Below are 16,351 nucleotides of genomic sequence, written 5' to 3'. Positions count from 1 at the left end.
GAGCTGACCCTAGTGACCTCATTTTAATTTAATTATTTCTATAAAGGCCCTGTCTCCAAATACAGACACATTCTGAGGTACTGACCCCAACATGAATTTTGTGGGGGACACAGTTTAGCCCATAACACATGACTTAATTTTATATATGTCTATTTTATCTAATTTTCTACTTAGTGGCCTTTTCTTTTTCACCTCATCCATTATAGTTTCCCAATATTTATAACGTTTGATCATTATTAACTATTGAAACACCTTTAAATTTAATCTGATACAGAAATGCCCTAGTCCAGGTAACAGGTAGAGCAGGCACCAGGTAGAGCAGGCTGGGATCTCACATAAGAATATATGGTAGAAAGAATTAGAATTTTATTTCATAGAGAGTAAGCCCCAAATATTTTATTTCTTTATAACCTCCACAGTGTCATGCAGTACAGTAAACGCACAGCACATGCCTGTGGGAAAGATGAGTGAATCAATGAATGAATTAGCAGGACTCAAAGAGCAACAGCTGACATTTATGACCCCTCTTCTTCTAAGCACACAGAGTAATTGTGTTGCCTTGTCGAAGACTCTTTAGAGTTGCCTGGCTGGGGAATCTTTAGTTTGAGAGACAGCCTAGGGACTCACACTCATCATGGAGAAGCCTGAACTGCATCTTGAGATTTGCCAGTGTTTCCAGAGCAATCCAAGCATTGCTCCAGCAGTGTGAAGTTGTGTCAGGGAAATAAAAAGCCAAGGTCTCCAGTAGACCCTAGGGAGAATGGAGACAAGAACATCACACCATTTAAATGATTAAAGCAAGAAATTTAACAGTGAAAAGTGATAAGGCATTGCATTTTCCTGCTAAAATGACGAATTCTGTTTACTTTGACCAAGAGCAGGCTTAATTTTAAAACAGGGAGGTGATCCAGTTTATACCAAAATATCAATATATTCAAATAATAAACTAAATTAGCCCTTCTGTTTAAAAAAAAGATCTTATCAAAATGCTAACCACTGTGGCATATCTGCAAAGAGAACCTTGCCTAAGTTCAAAATTGTCCAATTCCATAGAGAAAGCTGTTATCTAGTTTTTTAAACACCTGTAGCTTCCCTACCTCCACAGTTTATCCCATCTATAATTTTCAAATCCCCACCTATTCATTTTCCACTATCTCGTTTCCACTTGAAAACTGAATAATTAGGAAAGTAGATAGATACATACATACATGATATCTAGATAGACAGATATCCATAGATAAAATAATAAAAATCCCAATCTCTAGCTAGATAAAGAGTATTGTTCCCAGTACACATTTCAGTTATCTTAAATGTTTGTTTTTTTTGTGGGTTTATTCTTTGGGTGGGAATGTATTGGTTTTGGTTTTTATTTTTAACAAAGACAAAAGAGAAAGAGGAGAGAAAAGACAATTGCACATTTCTAAGTGTTTTATCAGAGCCTCAGTGTAGAGGTTGTGTTATGATCCCGAGTGGAAATTTGTTTTCATCACAAACCACCTCACAGTATGATACCATTTATCATGATTGTCATCCTAGGCTCAAGGGAGAGCAGAAATAGAATTCTAGCAGCTCTGTGCATAAGGACCTATGTACTCAAGCGCATGGGTAATCCTCAGTAAAATCGTTGCCATCATTGGGTGCCAGCCACTGGCTACTGACAGTAGTTGGCCCCAGCTGCCCAACTTTTAAGTAGTTGGTTTGAATTCACATCAATTGATAAATATTTAGGTCAAAAATCACTCAAGCGCATAAACATACCACCCCAAACTCAACAACACAATACTGCATGCATTTCCAATTCTTTATATAGACAGGGCATTTTACAGTTAGTTCTCCCTTTTTCTTCTTTTTTTTTAACTGCATTTTAATGCCCCAGGTTTGTTTAAACTTCTGTCAGAATGTTGACTTGGACTGAGATTTTATTTTTAATTCAGAAAAGAAGAGGATATAATGTCTTTAAAAGAAGAAGGAAATTCGGAGAGTTTTCTGCAATTAGCACCATAGAAGTCAGTTAAGATGCCTTCTGGAAATTTCCAATAGATAGGGGGTAAGTTAGAATGGCAGCAGGCAGCAAATGAAAACAGCACTTGGCAATTTGGGAATCCTTTTTTTGTGACAAACTATCTGGTAGGCAACAATTTTGGCTTTCTCTAAACTTGTATAACTCGCTGTTATTTTGGCTGATTTTGATCATTAGCACAATTGCACATAGAGAACCGTCAGTCAAATTAACTTAAGGCTGAATTCACGCCTACTTTCCCACCTCATTCTACTTAAGTACTTTCAGAAATCCCATCTTTACTTCTAGAAACATTGAAGCAAAAAGAGCTAGAAAGGAAGGTAGCCAGACTGCTACACCTCCCCTCCTTCCCATCATTATAGATCAAGCACTTAAAGTGAAGTTTAGACCTCAAGTCTCTCTCTCCAATTCATGCTTTACTATAGACTGGATTTTTTACTTCAAGTTTATCTGGCTAAAATATAAGTACATATTCACATCACTAAACAGAAAGACAATGGTCCACAAACATGCTCCACTTTCTATGTTTACTACCTTAAAAAATTGTATCATTATCCAGTTGCTCAATTCATAGCCTAGGTCCTTTTCTTCCTTCTCTTTTTCTATGGTAACACTTAACTAATCACCTTTTTTTTTTTCAAATTTTCTTTCTTCCATATATCTTGTATCTGTCCATCTTTTTCATGTGCCAACACCATCCAATTCAGACCTCAGTCATTCCTCACCTGTTTATTGCAATAGCTGTGAAGAAACTTGCTTCCTTGGGCCACCCTTTCACATTAATTCTACGATGCAGTTAGTCATCTTTCCAACATGAAAATCTCTTCACGTCACTTTTACAAAGACTCTGCATAAAATCCAAATGACATGGAATAATGAACAAACCCTTCATGGCTTGTCCTAGCAAACCTCTCCAGCCTCATTTGTCACTTCCTTAGCTAACCTTGAGCCCCAGTATTCGGCTACTCACAGGTCCCTGCACCAGCCATGATTTCTTTACCCTCTTGTCATTTTCCCTATGCCTGGAGCTTCGACTCCTTCCCCTGCTTCAGTTCTTTCTCAGTTTCTTGTAGAAGTCAGTTCTTGCAGAAAACCTGTGACCGTAGAAAACTTGTGACTGTATCTCCAGCAGGGCACTGTGAATCCTGTGTGCTCCTTAAAGAATTTATTGCAAAGGGGGCTTACTTTTATATACCATCTCCCTCTATCTTAAAAGCTCCTTAAGAGCGGGAATTCTGTCTTTTTAATCATCATTTATTACTGAATCCTGAGTATATAATGTAACACCAGGGCCATAGAAATTTCATGCTTTATAAATATTGCTCAAAGAATGAACGAAGAGATGGCAAAGGAAGATGTCTTAGATATCAATATTACAGTTGTGTTGCCGTTGCTCCAGTGAGGTCTTGGGGAAATTATTCACCCCGATTGGATAGCTTTAGCTCTTTCATCTTTGGAGTGAATATTTAGTGAGGACAACCCACTCCTTAACTGAACGATATTGAGGTGGTAACAAGAATTCCATCCACATTTTTACTTTCCAGTGTTTGGGGCAAATTCAGTCATTTTGTAATCATAAGTAGAAATTCAATAACTTGTTTTCTAATCAAAACTAGAAATCCATATAAACGCAAACAGTGAATCCTTTACCAAAATTACATACAAGTCAGCATTGAAAATAAGAAGTGGTTTTTTAGACCCTATGCCCTTAGAAAAAGATGGCTCTTATTTTTTAAATGGATTATGTTCTGCAATAAAGCCTATGTTGTATATTTTCCTAGGCTACAAACATATGTCATAATGTACACTGTCTATTTGTACTATAAGTCGTTTGCTTTAAAAAAATAAAAAGGTTGATTTTTAAGCTTTCTATCTAAATCTCTATTTGGTTCTCGGGCTTTTTGCTTTACTTCTGTGAAGAGATAGTTCATGCCACTTTGGTACTTTCTAATTTTCTTCCTGTGCTTCTGAAAGACAACTATCTGTCTCCTTTTGTAAAGCTATTCATCATGAAATTATAACATGGTATAGGTTGAGACGTGCCAGGATATTTCACTGACTATGGGGACACTCAGTAACAGACCTCTTTATTATCCCAGAAGTCAAAGCCCGGTTTTAAAATGTCAAGTGTCTCTGCAATGCCTACTTCCAATTTACTGGGGAAGCGGAAAGAAAGATTAGAAAGAGATTAAATGCATGGGTATTTAGTACCATAAAAAAGGAATTAGAAAAATTGAATTTATTAGAATTAAAATTATTATAAGAAAGAACCAAACCATGGTAGTCCTTGGAATGCCACCTTCTCATTTTGAATTTCTTGAGATGGAACATGAATTAGCGACTATCTAAGAAATTAGAAATTAGACATCCTGGGCCTTAGAAACTTTTGGTTTTTATATCTATAAAAAAAAGGCCACATCCCAAGTTGTACTTACATTCTTACTTAATCAAATATGTTTTTTAAGATATGCAAACACAATTAGAAGGTGAGTAGGTAATTTGGATGCCTAGTAATCAACATTTAGTTATAATTTATGATATCTTAATTAGTTTCCTTATAATTTAATTGATGAAAATTATTTACATGTACAAATAGCCACTGACTGTGAAAGCTAGTGGAGCCAAGATCCAACTTATATTATTTTCCCAACCAATAAACAAACAAACAAACAAAAACGCTTTTAGCAACCAAATTATTTTTGTAGTCTATTGTTTAGGACATCCGTTCTGTTTACTATTACAGTGTAAGAATGCTGTACTAGGGAACTGAAAAACTGTTATTTTGAAGAACGGAGTTTCTCCCCCTCAGTACTACTGACATACGGGATGAGAAGGTTCTTTGTCCTGGGGAGCTGTCCTGTGCATTGTAGGAGGCTGAGCAGCATCTTGGCCCTGCTTCCGCCTACTCGACGCCAGGAGCACACCCCTCCCAGTTACAACAACCAAAAACGTTTCCAGGCATTGCCCCCAGTTGGGCCACTGCTCTAGTATCCTAGTGTTCGAAGTCGGGAATGTGCCATTTGTCATTATTTAAACCACTCAATGATAGTACAGCACTTAGTAAAAACAAACAAACAAACAAACAAAAAACGGGAAAGATATGCCTATAATGGTGTGCTAGATGGTCCCAGAGAAATAGCAACCCAAAGGGTAGAAAGAAGCAGGGCCTGGGTTGACCTAACAAATCTTCTCAGTCTCTATAAGCTCTTAGGCCAGGCCCTTCACTTTTTTTTTTTTTTTTTTTTGAGACGGAGTCTCTGTTGCACAGGCAGGAGTGCAGTGGCACTATCACGGCTCACTGCAACCTCCGCCTTCCAGGTTCAAGCAATTCTCCCATCTCAGCCTCCCGAGTAGCTGGTGTGCACCACCATGCCCTGCTACTTTTTGTATTTTTAGGAGAGACAGGATTTCACCATATTGGCCGAGCTGGTCTCGAACTCCTGACCTTGTGATCCTCCTGCCTCAGCCTCCCAAAGTGCTGGGATTACAGACGTGAGTGAGCGCGCCCGGCCGCCCTTCACGTTTTTATTCCTCAATTTTCTACCATAAAAATGAATAATACTAATAATCCTCTCATAAGGTTGGGGTCCCAATCAAGGGAGCTAAAACATGAGAAGGACCAATGAACTACACAGATGGATGAGCCTGGAGGGCGTCATGCTAAGTAAAATAGGCCAGGAAGAGACACACAAATGCCGCATAGTCTCACTCATATGTGCAACCTAAAAAGTCAAACTCACAGAAGCAGAGAACAGACTGGTAGTTACCAGGGCTGGTGGACTGAGGGTCAGGGGAAGATATTGATCAAAGAGCAAAAAATTCAGTTAGGAAGAATATGTTCAAGAGATCTATTGTACATTATGGTGACTGTAGTTAATAACATTGTATTTTATAATTTAAAATTGCAAAGATAATAGATTCTAAGTGTTTTCACCATACACACAAAAATGAGTATGCAATTTAATGCAAATGTTTATTTGCTTGAGTTAACTATTCCACAATGTATTCATGCAGCAAAACATGTTGTACACTATACACATATATTTTTATATGCCAGTTAAAAACTAAATAAATAATAATCTTAACCAAAAAAAAGGCCAGCAAAGATACTAGCACATAGTGAGTATTGAATAATTGGTTTGTTATTAACAAAACATGATTCAAAAAGTAGTTCAAAAATATTTTTTGCAATGATGTTTGCAGGGAAAATTTCTCTTTTTATCATGGATCAAATTATTTTAGATAAACAGAGTCAAATTCTCCCACACAGCCCTTATAATTTCAGGAATTTATAATTAGTGTAATAATTCTTCTTAGCCTTAGTTATTAAGAGGTAGTGTAAGCTAACGTTTAAGAACATGAATTTTAGAATCAGACAGATCTAGGCAAATAACCCTTCCTCCAGTGTGATTTTCTATGTCTCACTTAGGCATAAAACTAAACAAATTATAAAGCTGTAGTTTTGTTTTTGAATTTACTTTCTACTGATATGGGCTTGGAGGTAGCTCTAAGACAAAAAAAATACTAATGCTTAAGAAACATTGAATTAATGGTGTTGCTTGAAAGTTAAGAAACAATAGAAAAGGAAAATAAAAGAAAAATGTGTTAGGAAAGTAAGGAGAAGGGAAGGAAATGTACATTTAGTGCCTACTACACACCAGGCACTGCAGAAGCTTCTTCTGCAAGGACAGTCTATGGTGAGGTGGTAATCCTCTCCATAATACACGGTTAGCTTCATTTTACGGAAGAGCATCAGAGGGGTGTTGTAACTTACTTGACAGCACGCGGCAAGTAACTAACGGAATAAGAACCAGCACAGAAGTCACTCTGACTCCAGAACAGCTGTTTTTATCTACCACCATGGGCTGCCCCGGTACACCCCGGCCCTGACAGCTACAGAACTGTTCTTTTTTTTTTTTGAGACGGAGTCTCGCTCTGTCGCCCAGGCTGGAGTGCAGTGGCGGGATCTCGGCTCACTGCAAGCTCCGCCTCCCGGGTTCACGCCATTCTCCTGCCTCAGCCTCCCAAGTAGCTGGGACTACAGGCGCCCGCCACTACGCCCGGCTAATTTTTTGTATTTTTAGTAGAGACGGGGTTTCACCGTTTTAGCCGGGATGGTCTCGATCTCCTGACCTCGTGATCCGCCCGCCTCGGCCTCCCAAAGTGCTGGGATTACAGGCGTGAGCCACCGCGCCCGGCCCAGAACTGTTCTTTATGTCCAGCTCTTGCTGACACTACACAGAGAGAATACTGAATTTTAGCAGGTAAGAAAAAGCAATAGGTATCCTCACAAATGTTATCATCCTAAGGGAAGTAGCTGTATCGTTATGATTATTTCATCAGTTGGCTTGAGATATTAGCCTATTTATGGAGATTAAATTCTATTTTAAAAAGGTTTCAGTGGGAGGCTGAGGCAGACAGGTCACAAGGTCAGGAGATCGAGGCCATCCTGGCTAACACGGTGAAACCCCGTCTCTACTAAAAACACAAAAAATTAGCTGGGCGTGGTGGCTGGTGCCTGTAGTCCCAGCTACTCTGGAGGCTGAGGCAGGAGAATGGTGTGAACACGTGAGGTGGAGGTTGAAGTGAGCCGAGTCGTGCCACTTCACTCCAGCCTGGGCGACAGAGCGAGACTCCACCTCAAAAAAAAAAAAAAAAAAAAAGATTTCAGAAGTATTATTGTCAATAATTACAAAACTAAAAAAGGAGAATGCAAGTTTCTGAAATCCAAAACATTTCTAGAAATGAAACAGTTAAGGGGTCAAAGTACCAAAGTGATGAATTTTTTGTGTGGTTGGGGCAGACTCCTTAATGTTAATACAGTTTTGTTGGATTGTAGAAAAATTTATGACACCATTATCTTATACAAAATACCTGCCCATTTTATAGATACAGCAGTCCCCCTTATCCTCAGCTTTGCTTTTGAAAGTTTAATTTACTCAAGATTAACTGCAGTCTGAAAATATTAAATGGAAAATTTCAGAAATAAACAATTCATAAGTTTTAAACTGCATGCTGTTCTATGTAGTGTGATGAAATCTCACAGTGCTCAGTCCCGTTATGCCTGGAGCATGAATCCTCCCCTCTTCCAGAGGGTCCCCACTGTGGATGTTCCCTGCCCGCGAGTCACTTAGCTGTCTCGATTACCCAATTGACTGTCCAACATCTCCATGCTTGTGGTCACGCCATCCCTATTTTACTTAATAATGGCCCCAAAGTGAAAGAGTAGTTTTAATTTTTTAAAGTTGCCTGAATTCACAATCCAGGAAAAAGATATTAATGTACTCAGAGAATTCGTTGAAAATGCCATTTGCAATCCCTAGTCCTATTCTCTGAGCATGGTTTCGTGTAGACGCTCAGGGTACTTTTGAAATGAGCCATGCCACCAAAAGAAAAGTGACATTTGCTTTGTTATATTAAAACAACTTGAGAAGCATGCAGCAGCTCCTGAGATGAATTTCCTGGGATGGAATGGAGCAAGTTTTAATATTAGCTCACACATATATTTGCACTTTATGATATTTATTACATAGGCTCAACTAATAAAAAAGTAAAAAAAAAAATTAGAACCAACTGAGGCTTTGTAACTCAGCTAAAATGTAACATATCCTTATAAGTGGTTTGTACAATGAACTGCTTTTAGACTGATACCCTTTAATGTTCATATTTGTTTCATAAATTTGTCACCCAGATCCCTTGGTGAAATCTCCCTAATGTACACCGAACACATAAAAATGATTCAAGATGTAAGTAACTAATAAAATCTTGTCCTCATTATTTTAAGAGGATGTCACTAACTGACCAAGAATATGTCACTTCATCAGCTCTGAAATCTTTAACAGATCAGTAAAATAAATCATACCAAGTGCATGAACTGAGAGTGTGGTTTCTTAAAAAATGCATCAAGTGAATTTTATTTTCATCTACTCAGATGGGCGATGAGCACTCAATAGGAGTAAAGATTGTTTTGGAAGGTGCAGATAAATTTCAATAACAATATCTATGTGCCTGCAGTGTTGCTGGCTGTAGCTTATCCTAAGTATCTGCTCTTATTTTTTACAAACTAAAGATCATGTTTGGGATGAAAAGTTTTACAAAACACACCCAAGATTTATTTTATGTGAATGAATGAATAAATGTATAAATAGGGATTTTTGTTTCATGCAGTATTCTAGAAATGTGACCCTAGTTTGTTTGAATTTCTTCCCATCTAGAAGTGAATCTATGCTCCCATCCTTTGAACCTGGAGTCTGAGACTGGACATGGAGTACAGCAGAAGTGAGGCTGTGTTGGGTTTTGTACCCAGATCTTAAGACACTGGCAGCTCTTGAACAGAACGACCAGCACGTTGGTGGCTTTTCAAGGTGTAGTTCAGGTTACCTCACTTTGCTAGATTACCCAGCCTGTGTCACATACAGTCTTTTTTTTATATATATACTTTAAGTTCTAGGGCACATGTGCACGACGTGCAGGTTTGTTACATATGTATACATGTGCCATGTTGGTGTGCTGCACTCATTAACTCATCATTTACATTAAGTATATCTCCAAATGCTATCCCTCCCCCTCCCCCCACCCCATGACAGGCCCCAGTGTGTGATGTTCCCCACCCTGTGTCCAAGTGTTCTCATTGTTCAATTCCCACCTACGAGTGAGAACATGAGGTTTTTGCGATAGTTTGCTGAGAATGATGGTTTCCAGCTTCATCCATGTCCCTACAAATGACATGAACTCATCCCTTTTTATGGCTGCGTAGTATTCCATGGTGTGTATGTGCCACATTTTCTTAATCCAGTCTATCATTGTTGGATATTTGGGTTGGTTCACAAGTCTTTGCTATTGTAAATAGTGCTGCAATAAACATATATGTGCATGTGTCTTTATAGCAGCATAATTTATAATCCTTTGGGTATATACCCAGTAATGGGATGGCTGGGTCAAATGGTATTTCTAATTCTAGATTCTTGAGGAATCGCCACACTGTCTTCCACAATGGTTGAATTTTTAAAGCACAAAAGGGAACATAAACATATTTTGGAACTCTCTCTCTCTCCCAATTCTCATATACAAGTCTATATGTTAAATATACACATAAATTATAAAATCAAGTATTTGTTTCAGGTTCAGAATCAAGGTTTTCAGGTTCTACCATGGGACTCTGGATATTTACAGGGGCAGAAGAGATGACAAAGGTAATAAATTCCCTCATTCTTGGCCACAACACTGTAAGCACTGCCTTTCTCTTGAAAATAAGGAAGGCTTGGGTAGAGGCCCACATGTGGAGGATCACAAGTACAGCACCAACTTGTAGCCATGTGAAGGAGTCATCCTGGCTGTGGATCCTTCATCCATGTGAGCCGCCTGCCCTTGCCAACATCCTGTAGAATGCACATGAGCTGTCCCCACCAAGAGCTGACAAAGATGCAGATTCGGCAGCAACATAAATTAATGTTGTTATTTTAAACATGAGTCTCGCGATAGTTTGTTGTGCAATGGCAGATTAAGAAGAATATTTGTAAAACCAACAGATACACTAAGGAGTTATTTTCAAGAGAAAGGCAATGCTTACAGTTTTGTGGTCAAGAACAAGGAAAATTATTACCTTTGTCATGTATTCTACCCATGTAAATATCCATGGTCCCATGGTGGAACCTGAAAACCCTGATTCTGAAGCCAAAACACATGATTTGATTATATATATATATGCATATGCATACACACATACACATATATATGCACACTACCATATATATACTACTGTATGTATGCTATATATATATGTAACTAATGTGTATGCATACATATTAGAATTGAGTGAAAGAGATTCCAAAATACTGTTTTCTGCTTAAAAAGTAAATGTAGACTGTATATGGCATAAACCAGATAACCCAGGCAAGTAAGGTAACCTGAAACACACTTTGAAAAGCCACCAACCTACCTAGGTGTCTACAGTAGGTCTATGCGAATCCGCCCAGTCCCCGGTTCTAACAAATTGACTGTTTGTGGTTTTGAGCAGAGACCAGAAAAATATATGGACTTCCCAAAAATAAGAGTTCTCAATACTAACACGTAAGAAGTAAGAAAAAAGAAATTTCTCTAGCTCCGCCTTAGAACAATTAAATTAACATCTCTGGTGGGGTAGATTAATATCACTACTAAAACAAAGCTAAACAGAACCAGAAGGGCCTAGTAATTATAATATGGGACCAAATCTAATAATCATTAGTCTAGGATTTCTAAAATATTAAGTTCTTCCTTCTATTTTCCAAAAAAGTGAAAGCAGGGGAGGAGTAGAAAGTGTTGATTTTTCTTCCTTCTCTCTCACTTTTCTCTGAGCCTAAATGATTCCCTGCCTTAGGGTAAACAGTTGAGCAAGTGGAAAAAAAAGTAAGATGAAGAAAAGTAGTAAATGCTAAAGGAAAAAACAGTGGCATCTACTAATAGGTATGTATGTTTTTAAACCTGTAAATTCCTCTAATGTCAAAGAATTTAAAATAAAGTACCCTGACATAACCAGAAGTTGTTTTTCACTCCCCAGCAGATTGAGAACATTAAAAAGAATGGGTAATATCTAGCCTTGGGGACAGAATGGGGAAATAGAAACTCAAACATAGGAGATTGAAACATAAAGTGGTGAAACATTCATGGAGGCGATTTAGCAGCAAGTATCAAATGTAAAATCCACATTCTGTGGACTCAGTAGTTCTGCTTCTCAAAGCTCTGGCCTATGGAAGCACTGGCATATGCACACAAAATATTCACTTCTGCATCATATCTAAACTCTAAAAACTGGAAGAACTCAAATATCAGCCAATACTACAAGAACCAATCAACTGTGGTATATTTCTTCTGTGGAATATTATATAGCCATTGTTAAGAATGAGATATAAGTGTATACACCTTCTATGTACCCACAAAAATTAAAAATTAAGAAGCCTTAAAATAGAATGAGATAGATTCATAGGTAATGACAAATACATATCTCTAAAACATAGAATTAGGAAAAATAATACATCTAAACCAATACATACTATGTATTATACTTACTATATATAAAACATATGCATGTGCATTTGTGTGGAGTACATACCTTTATGTACACATACATATATGTAGATGTAAATGTATATAAAACTGATTAGGAGAGCCACCCTAAATAATACAAAGTGGTTACCTCTGCATAAGGGAGAGAGATTCCAGAGAGGGATGAGAGACAAAGTGGAGAGAGGATTAAGGAGGATTGTTTATGTACTGCTGGAGTGATTCATTGTAAGATTTCTTTTCAATGAAAAGTAAAAGCCTTCAAAACCGGGCTGTTGACAAAGGGTCTGTTCCTGCTCATCCTCACTGGGTCTAAGAAATTGTGCTTTTGATCTTCTCAGTTTTCACAGCTAACAGTTACCTTGCCCACTCACCTCGCTTGGGATTCAATCAATCAGGAGTGTTTGTGCATAGTTCCCATGTCCCAGCTGCCTCGTGGGTTTCTAGGATTATACAAATTTGACACAACTGTGACCTATTTCTCTACTGCTTTTCTAAAAATAATCAAGTTTTGTTTCAGCAATTTCCTAATTTTCACTACTTTCTTATTAATGTAATTTAGTTATCAATGCCTGCATTGAGAAAGTTGTCGAATAATTCGATGCAAACTGTTTATAATTTCAAGCTCTTTGCACGATTGTTTCTATCTACCAACAGTGCATATTGTCACAGTGACATTTCCATTGTTATAATTGCTAGTCAGTAAGAGACAGAAACATTGCGTCCTCCAAGATGACTTTGCCATGTGTATAAGTCTACTTCATTTGTATTCAATGTTCTGAAAATTGTGTAGAAAACACGACTTATAGAAAACTCCGCACTGAAATTAGCTTTGGAAGCATTATATTTGTAAATGTGCGTCATCTGGGAAGCATTTATTGAGCACCTTCTGCAGGAATACATATGCTATAATTATTCTGATAAAGGTTATGGGCAAAAAAGTGAAATCCCTGACATCAAACAAGTTTGAATTCACTGAAAGACACTGATTACTCATATCTAAGAGGCAACTCTTTATAGACATTTAATTATTGTTTGCTTTGAAAATATTCACTGGACTCTTACTATGGGTTGGATATGATTGTGAGTCCTGGAATAAAACAGGAAGAAATAAATAACTCCCTTCCTTCATTGAAGCTCATATTTTCCTGGGGGATGTAGGCAATGAGAAACAACTAGATGATAATAATATGTAGATGATACATGAGAAGAAAATCAGTACTATAAAAATACGGGGAAAGAGTTGATGATTGGGAGTACAGACAAGAGAGGGAGAAGCAATGGGCGTGGGTTACAGTTTCAGAGTGGTGAGGGTCACCCTCAGCAGGAAGGCAGAGTTCAGGAACTACCTGAAGGAGCTACGAGAGTTAGCCGTGCAAATGTCACAAAAGAGATTCCAGGCGAAGGGGACAGATGACGCAATGTCCAAGGGAAGCTGTGTTCCTGGAGTGTTTAATGAACATTATGAAGGCCAGTGTTTTGAACTGCAGGGGTAAATTGGGATTACAGATGATGAAGTAGGTAGAAAGCAGAGGTGAGGCCAGATCATGTAGGTCTTTACAAGCCACTGAAAAAATGAATGCTTTTATTCTGCGGGGGAAGAAAATCGTTTGAGCAGCAGAGGTACACTACTGAACAAGATTCTTAAAGGGATCACTGTGGATACTGTGTTAACAACAGAACATCAAGGAACAAGAGTAAAATTATGAATTCCAGTTACTCGGTTGCTGAAATATTCCAGAAAAATAAGTGATGCTGTTTGGTCCAGGGTGGTAGCAGTCGAAGTGGTGAGAAGTGGTCCAGATTCTGGACATATTTTGCAGATAGAATTGACAAGATTCCCTGGGGATTGAACAAGGGGTGTGAGAGAAAGGAATCAAGGATGTTGACCAGAAAAATTGGAAAGATGAAGTTGCTATTAACACAGATAAGAAGAAACAGGGGTGGAGCTGGTATAATAGGGAGGATCAAGAGTTCAGTTTTGCCTTGCTGAGTTTGTCCTGCCCATTTGGTACTCAAGTGGAGAATGTATAAGAAGAGCATGATATACAAGGCTGGGATTCAGAGCTGATTCTGGGTTTTTGATATATGTTTGGGAATTCTTATCATGCAGATGGTGTCACAGGAAATAATAATGAATAAAACCCTCAAGGAAGTTAGGATAGCTGTATTAGTTCATTCTTGCACTGCTATAAACAAATACCCGAGACTGGGTAATGTATAACAAAAGAGGTTTAATTGGCTCATGGTCCTGCAAGCTACACAGGAAGCATAGTGGCTTCTGTCTCTGGGGAGGCCTTGGGAAACTTACAATCACGGTAGAAGGTGAAGAGGACGCAGGCACATCTTACATGGCTGGAGCAGGAGGGAGAGAGAGAGCAGGGGGAGGTGACACACTTTTAAACAAGCAGATCTCATGACCACTCACTCACTCTCAAGAGAACAGCACTAAAGGAGTGTTGCTAATCCACTCATAAGAACTCCACGCATATGATCCATCACCTCCCACCAGGCCCCACTCCAAATTGTGAATAGAATCTGACGTGAGATTTTGGTGAGGACACAGATCCAAACCACATCAACAGCTATGGAAGAGAAAGATGATGTAGCATAAGCCCTGGGCACGCTAACATTGAAAAGCCAAGAAGAAGAGAAGGAACAAACCAGAATGAGAAGCAGCAACCAGTAAAGGAGAAAAACCAAAAGGAAGGGGAATCAGGAAACCAAGCAAAGTAAGTATTTCAGAGAGGAGGAAGTGATGAACAGCTATATATTCTGTCACTTGGCTGAGTAACATAAAGACTGAAGAGTTCCTATTGCATGTAGCCACAATAAGGCCAATTAGTGCCTTCAACAAGAGCAGTTTTGGTGTTATGGTGAAGGCATATGCCTGGCTGGAGTGAATGTCAGAGATGGTGGGAAGAGTGTAAAGTACTTTTTCAGAAAGGTTTGCTAACCTGAGAGACAGAGGTCTGAGAAGTTAATGGCAAAGGCGACTAGGATCAACAGACTGGTGTTTTTAAGACATATTTCTATGCTAATGAGAATGATCCAGTAAAGGGGAAAAGAACGATGTCGATTGGAGAAGGTAGATGCCCTGGAGCAGCCTCTTCAAAGGCCAGGGGAGGTGGGCGCTCATGCACGGTGGAGGAATTGATTCTGGATAGGAGTAGGGGTAGCTCAGCTATTAACAGAAAAGAAAGCATACAAGAGGTACCACAACTGGCAGGGAGGCTCAAGACATGATAGAGTCTGTGGACATTCTCTTGATTACTTCATTTGTCTCAGTATGGTAGAAATCAAGGTCATCAGTTCAGAGTAATGGTGAGAGAGAAGGTAGGAGAGGTTTAAAAAAAGGAAAGGGGGCAAGAAAGAATAGTCTAGGTTGGAAGAAAGATACATCCATGAAATAGGGAAATAGAAGAAGGTTGTCAGGCAGTATTGAAAGCTCACTTGGGGTTCCTGGTTATGGATTTAAAGTGAGACTATCAAGAGGATCTGTGTTTTACTTTGGCCACATTGAACTGCATAAGAGAAAGCACAGGTTAAAAACAGAGTCAGGTTTAGCTAAGGTGGTGGCTAAGCCAAGAGAGCACACAGAACAGGAGAAGCAAGAAAGTTGAGGACAGGAGCCACAAATTAACAGGCAAAACAGATACGTAAGGATAAATAACCTCATACACACACATGACTCAGAAAAATTTGTGCAATAAGTTGTTCAAACTCAAACTAAACTCGAATAATAATAATCCACCTTCAAAGTGATTATTTTCACTACCAGTATACTCAGTCTCTCAAGGTTCTGTGCCTCAAAACCATATGAAGTCTCCCCTTTGCCATTCTCCTCACAGCCTATGGCACAATCTTTCCACCTTAGGCAAAGGTGACAAATCTTCATCTTTTGAACAGTGATTTTCGTGTTGGAAATACTGGAAGTCTTTTTAAACCAAACCTAGTGAATTAAGCAAGTTATCAAGCCATGTAATTCTATTTGGGGTCCCAAACGAGGTGTGATTCCAAAGTAATGAGACTTATTTCCTTGAATGACTCATAAACTGGCTCTGAAGAAAATTCCAAAACAAGAGTTACACAGTTTGGAATTAGGGACAACTTAACTGAGAAAGTGCTCCTAGAAAGAATGAGTTTTAAGTTGGACTTATGAAGGGATGGAAAGGTAACAGATTGGACGATATTAGGAATGACCTGAACAGGTAGTGCTTACATTTCTACAGGCATTTTGACTGTAAACTTTTGATTTTATTTGCATGTATCACCATTTATCCTTAAAAC

General features: G+C 38.5%; 1 long non-coding RNA gene across 1 annotated transcript; it reads right to left on the bottom strand.

Annotated features, from left to right (window-relative positions):
• Nucleotides 1–381: 381 nt before the first annotated feature.
• Nucleotides 382–2,867, bottom strand: LINC01309 (long intergenic non-protein coding RNA 1309). The gene is made up of 2 exons (NR_126374.1): nt 2,746–2,867; nt 382–751 (listed from the first exon to the last, which is right to left on the bottom strand). It is a non-coding gene; the product is annotated as a long intergenic non-protein coding RNA 1309 (long non-coding RNA).
• Nucleotides 2,868–16,351: the final 13,484 nt, after the last annotated feature.

The sequence above is a fragment of the Homo sapiens genome, chromosome 13 (genome assembly GCF_000001405.40).
Source record: "Homo sapiens chromosome 13, GRCh38.p14 Primary Assembly".
In the NCBI taxonomy this organism is placed as follows: Eukaryota; Metazoa; Chordata; class Mammalia; order Primates; family Hominidae; genus Homo; species Homo sapiens.
The sequence above is the reverse complement of the archived record's forward strand: the minus strand, read 5'-3'. Positions and strand labels throughout refer to the sequence as shown.